This window comes from Homo sapiens, chromosome 12 (assembly GCF_000001405.40).
Source record: "Homo sapiens chromosome 12, GRCh38.p14 Primary Assembly".
Lineage (NCBI taxonomy): Eukaryota > Metazoa > Chordata > Mammalia > Primates > Hominidae > Homo > Homo sapiens.
In genome coordinates this window covers 17,693,043-17,699,042 of record NC_000012.12, presented here as the reverse complement: position 1 = coordinate 17,699,042, position 6,000 = coordinate 17,693,043, and the positions used below count along the sequence as shown (strand labels likewise).

General features: G+C 32.4%; 1 long non-coding RNA gene across 1 annotated transcript in view, besides 1 other annotated feature; it reads right to left on the bottom strand.

Annotated features, from left to right (window-relative positions):
• Positions 2,630–3,866: an enhancer, noted in NCBI's record as "VISTA enhancer hs980". NCBI's record gives its function as "enhancer in: hindbrain (rhombencephalon)[4/5] | midbrain (mesencephalon)[4/5]" and the evidence as "EXISTENCE:transgenic organism evidence [ECO:0001131][PMID:17130149]".
• LOC124902889 (uncharacterized) overlaps positions 3,248–6,000 on the bottom strand; it is a 38,516-nt gene continuing 35,763 nt past the window's right edge. Inside the window, exon 2 of the long non-coding RNA XR_007063232.1 lies at positions 3,248–3,535. This is a non-coding gene — a long non-coding RNA (uncharacterized LOC124902889). The remainder of the gene's footprint in view (positions 3,536–6,000) is intronic.

Sequence of the window (6,000 nt, the reverse complement as noted above, 5' to 3'; positions counted from 1 at the left end):
GAGGCTTGATCTTTTTATTTGGGGAAGAAAAAAACTCTTAGGTTTTTTGAGGAGTATTCTCCAAATAAGTATAGAATTTGCTTCTGTTGTCTTGGTGCAAAAGTAGTTGATATTTTTATCACTACTTTTAATGGCAAACCCAAAATTACTTTTATACCAACCTAACAGAACTACTGCTGACCTAATCCTTTTATAATGTTAATTTTTGGCTTAGAAATTTCCAGAATTCCTAATTCAAATACAGATAATGAAGACCTCAGACTGTCTTGAGAATCGGGATAGTGGTTAAGCCTCACCGGAGAAGAAGGAAAATCTTTTCTTCATCCAGAACTTTCACATTTCTCTTTAACATCTACCTGAGATATTGGTTCATTTTTTAACTGAAGCCATAACACGTTGAAGGTAATAGATTTATGCAGCTTTATCCATTCTAATTTCTTGGCTCATCTGTCTCTGCATGGACATTAAAACCAAATGCCCAGATTACTAAAATCAAAATTCTTCATCCCGACCCAGGAAGCTCTAGCGTTAGTTAGTACTCTGGTTTTTAGTATCTCCTTCATTGTAGCTTGTGCATTTTGTTTTATTCTATCTTGTTTTCTTAAAACATACACAAATTAAATTAAGCAAAATATTTATTTTTATATTTAAATAATTGGATATATACAGCCTGCTTTTATTTGTGTATCCATTTGTTGGTTGGCTTATTTTATTATGGCTAAAAAAGAAGCAACCATGGATTCACCCTGTCAACCTTGTGCATGTCTCCTGATGCACACATGTTAAAAAGCTCTATGGGCTATGTACCTGAGAGAATGATTGCTGGGTTAAGGCTATGTAAATGTTCAATTACATGTAATACCAAACCTTTTTCAAAAGTACTGTTAAAATATGAGCTTGTTTGTGTCCACATTGTCTTTTATCTTTGGGATTTTCAGAATTTAAATTTTTTGCCAATCAATATGTATGGTCTTGGTTTGCATTTTCCTGATCACAAATAAGTTTGAACATGTTTAATATAACTATATTTTTGGTTCCATGTATTTTTGTTTCTAGTAAATGTATTTCAATTGTCCTCTGTGCATTATTTCATTAGTATTTTTCTCTTGTCTTAATAATTTATAGGCATTGCTTTTGCATTCTTGATATTGAGCCTTTGTAAGATTTGTGTATTGCCAACATCTTTTCACAGTCTATAATTTTACTTTTCACTTCTTTTAAATTGTTTTATGAGGTACGAAAGCTTTTATGTTTAATAGTTAAATTTGTCAGTCCTTTGTATCACATAAAGTCAGTGAAGTGTTTGAAATAGCATTGACTGTCAAGATGCTTTTGAAAAAGTGAGAATTTAGGTAACTTACTAAATTTTTTTTCCACAATTTTCTTGATGATATATGGGAGAAAATATACGCAATAGCTGTACCTTTTAAATCTCACTGTTAAAATAGTTTATTTATTTTTCCAAAGTGAGTTAATGATGAAGCATTTGCCTGTGTGGACTTGAGGGCACAATCTGTCTTCACAGGAAGCTTCCTCAGAACCACCAGTGTGAACCCCTGAGGATGCCTCCTTTTTACAAACCCTACAGTTAGCCTCAATATTAGGTTTAGATTCCTGGATCAGTTCCAACCTGGAAAATACACAATGCTTACTAAAATTTCTGCTGCAGTTTGAATGCAATGCAGAGTATTTCTTCACTTTTCATAAAACCTTCAATATGATCTCAAATATATTAAAATATATTTTAATCTCCAGGGTAAATGATGATGTTCAGGGTTGCATATTCTTTTTCATGACATAGTCAAAATAAAACTTTGTTGTTTCAAAAATAAATACATAGTTTGAGCACATTCTTATTTCATTTACCCTGTATGTATTTACTGTCAAAAAGCCTTTAGGTACTATTTTAGATATGATAACTCAGGTAGGTAGGTAGATAGATTGACAGACAGACAGATGTGTGTGCGTGTGTGTATATATATATATACACACACTAGTAAAAGCATCAATTTCAAATGATCAGGTCTGGATTAGCACAATTTCTATATTGTATAACCTCAGTCTAAACTTTAGATTTAAGCAGATTTACAGAGAGTTGAATATTCTAGGGCAACACAGAGAGAGATTGCAGATACCTCTTTCTAAATTTGTAAACTGACCTCAGTAGATCACCCATTAGAGCAAAAATTCAATATTAAAATGCATAAATGGCTACATTGTAAAGTACAATTCTACTAAGTTTCTGTCCAGAAAATTGAAATCGTGGATTGAAAAATGTTATTTGGGCTAGCTTAACAATTAAATTGATTGACTGTATGACTAAATCTATTGAGATCACAGACTAGAATCTTCATGGCAGTCAAAACATTGACACAGAGAGATGAATATTTTATTTATGTATAGATTATATTTTGAATTTCTCAAAAAATTTTAACTATAATATTACATTCATCTACTGATTCTTTTTCAAATACATAAAGTGAAATTACCTGTACTTCACTCACTGCATAACCTTAGACACACGAAGAAAATCTTTCTTAGATACTATATATTCTAAAAAGTAGCCCATTAGGAAAAAAGAATCCCCGGAATAAATGGGACAACGTTGGTAAACTAGATAATTTTTTATTGGTTTGGCTAGTGCTCAAAATCATTTTCTGAGTAGAAATAATAATAATAAGAATAGCCTGTAACTGTTTCTTTGCTCTATCTAGAGCAAGTTTAAACAGGCCAACATAATCTCCTCTGCTTCTCTGGAACTACGTAAGGTTTAAATAAAACACAGGAGAGTCATTTTTATCAGGTGACCCTATATTTGGCCAAAATGAAAAACGTGTTCCCAATCTTATTTCTGATGAACATATCAAAACGACTGTCGTATGCCTCATCTTTTTAAGAAAGCATATGTTAAACAGTGCAGGCGAAGGTAAACTTGAAAAGGATTCACTTGTCCTAACAGCCCATCTGTTTCATACTCCCCGCAGAGCACAACTCTTTTCTGGGGTCCCTTTCAGGTGCGCTCTTACCTTATGTAACACTCTCTTTATTGTAAGTTCATGCTGTGACCCTGTCAGAATTGCTACAGCAGGGGTGACCTCAGTAATGACCATCCACAGCCTGCCAAGCTAACTTGGTCAGTGTTAGCTGATTAAACTTTTAACAACATCCCCTGTGCGATAAAGGGCAAAATGACAACTTTGCCCATCGTCAAGGTGTCTGTATAATAAACTAATTAGTAAACCACACAGTCTGTGGAGCTTTTAATGAGTGCTATCGGCTGGCCTCTGTAATAAAAACCCAGTCTGCCCCCTTTTGGGATTCAATTAAGGCACAGACTGTCATATGCTCGGTCTAGCTGATCAATGAATCCATTCCGACCTTTGTCGGAGCTGTTTGCAAGGTCAGTGGCAGTAGTGAAGAAAGCCGCCTTGGTAAAGGAGGTGTATCCAACAGCGGCCGACAGGCTCCAAGTCCAGTTGTTAATATCCTTGTGGTCATTTGACATCAGCAGAAGTTTCTCTCATTCAAAGGTTAGCTGGAAGAGAAGACAGCAATGAAAAAAATATATGTTGGTATTTTTTCACAGAAAGGTCCTTCTGTTATTAAAAAATGATCATTAGTCTGTTAACATCTAGTTTTACCTTGTGGTATCTTCTTTTTCTTCACCCAGTGGAATATATGATCCAAGTTTTGTTCTTCCAAATATAACTTATTGATTTAATTCTTTTCCAGAAGTGAAAACAAATGTAACCTTTATGAAATGTAGTTCTCTTTTTATGATTCAGGATGGTGAGGTTTTTACAACAGCATTAAATTAGAAAACATGATGTTTCTTATTAAAAGTCTATGAAGTCAGGAAAGTTTTTATTATAATTAAATGTTTTTAGTACTCTATAATTTTGGATATTGCAGTATTCTTCGAGTCTACATCTCAAACATTTTTGTTTAGTAATTTGAAAATCCCCATATTTATCTCTACACAAAAATCTTCAAAAATGAAAATAGTCATTTTAAAGGTATTTAAATGATAGTTTGACCAGATAATATATTTTTCTATTTTGATAATAAGTTACATAAGGAGAAAATATTTGCAAATTCTGTGGATTGTAGCATTCCTAGACTTAATATTTATGGATTTTAGAGTAACCCCAAATATCCATGAGAATTAGCAATCTGTAATTTTATTTATACCCAGGACAGAAATGCTTTACTGTTCAAACTGTGAGATGAAAAATCCCAGAGCTGGAGGGTGAACCTAGCTGACTACTCAGCAGCCACAACCTAAAGTGCCACTGTTGTTGTATATGCAATGAGTATTTGAGAAGTCCTATAGGATATTGCTATTTATACTTAATATAAGGTAAAATATATTATAAATGTAATTTAAGATTTCAGAAATTTATATATAAAAGTATATGTATATCAAGTATATGTATATCAAGATTCTACAGTTTACTACTTTTTACAAAATTAGCATTTATGTTCAAATTATGTTCAATGACATTCAAATTGAAACATTTTAAAGTTCAAAAATTTCAGTAAATATGTTTGCATAAAATGAAGATCCTAATTAAAGTTGAACAATCTCCACCTTTGAGTAACATTGGTATGATTTTTAAGCATTATAAATGAAGATAGCATGAAGTCTAGGAATTCTATTAAAGGTTTATCCTAAGGGAATATTTCTACAGCTATAGAATATGCAATTACTAAAATATCCACCAAAGAGTTCATTTTAGTAGGAAACAATAGTGTAAAAACTAAATACCCAACCATAGGAGACTACATATTAAAAATGTTAAGTATGTACACTTAGTGAAATATTATTCAGCCCTTAGAAATAATGATTCAGGGCATTTAGTCATAGTCATAGAAAAAGATCCATATATTTGTCAGTGAAGTGAACAGTGTGAAAAGCAATATGCTTACCTTTTTATTATATGTATTTCATAGTATATATTAAAGACATAAATAAAATATATGTACATGTATATTAGTATATTAATGTACACATGTGTACGTGAATATATCAGGAAATATACATGCATAGGTATGTCTATATATATGTATGCATCATGTATATATATATATAGACAAATAAATAAATAAAAATACATGTATATACATACTCATTTTATAAGGGTACTTTCCACTTTTTACATTCAATATTTTCTGATTTCTTCTAATTACTTTTAATGTTTTTATGAGGAAATTTTATTATTTAATATTTGCATTTTTTGAGAATGGGTCTTGCTTTGTTGCCCAGGCTGGAGTGCAGTAGCACAATCACTGCTCACTGCAGCCTTGACATCCTAGGCTCAAATGATCCTCCCACCTCAACCTCCTGAGTATCTGGGACTACAGACACATGTCACCATGCCTGGCTAATTTTTTTAAAATGTTTTTAAAGACAGGGTCTCCCTGTGTTGTCCAAGATAGTCTGAAACTCCTAGGTCCAAATCATCCTCCTGCTTTGGCCTCCCAAAGTGCTGGGATTACAGGCATGAGCTGCTAAGCACACTAAGCAAAACTGTAGCTGGTCAGGGTTAAAATAAGTTTTTATTGGGGTTGGGGGTAGGCAAAGGTTAGGGGGACAATGAGGAGAAAACACTTCCCATACTCCCCAAACTACATTTATTACATAACTTGGCATCAAATCATGAGTTTATTGTCTTTTTCCAGGTTGCCAAATTTCTGACTTAATTGGACTAGTCCTGCAAAATTATCTCTTTGGAATCTATGACTTTATATCAAAGTTAGGTTGCAGCATAAATTAAAAAAGAACATAAGATTTGCTAATTCAAGGATGTCTTGATGTTTTAAATCTACCAGTATACTATTCAAGTAATTAGATTTCAATTGGATAAGAAATTATATTTATACAAACTATTTAAGTAAATTATTCACGTTCAACATATTGAAAATTTTTATAAATACAAAATATAAACATCCTGTGATTGCTCATGACAGAGTGATCTCTTGTGCCTTCACAGATATAAT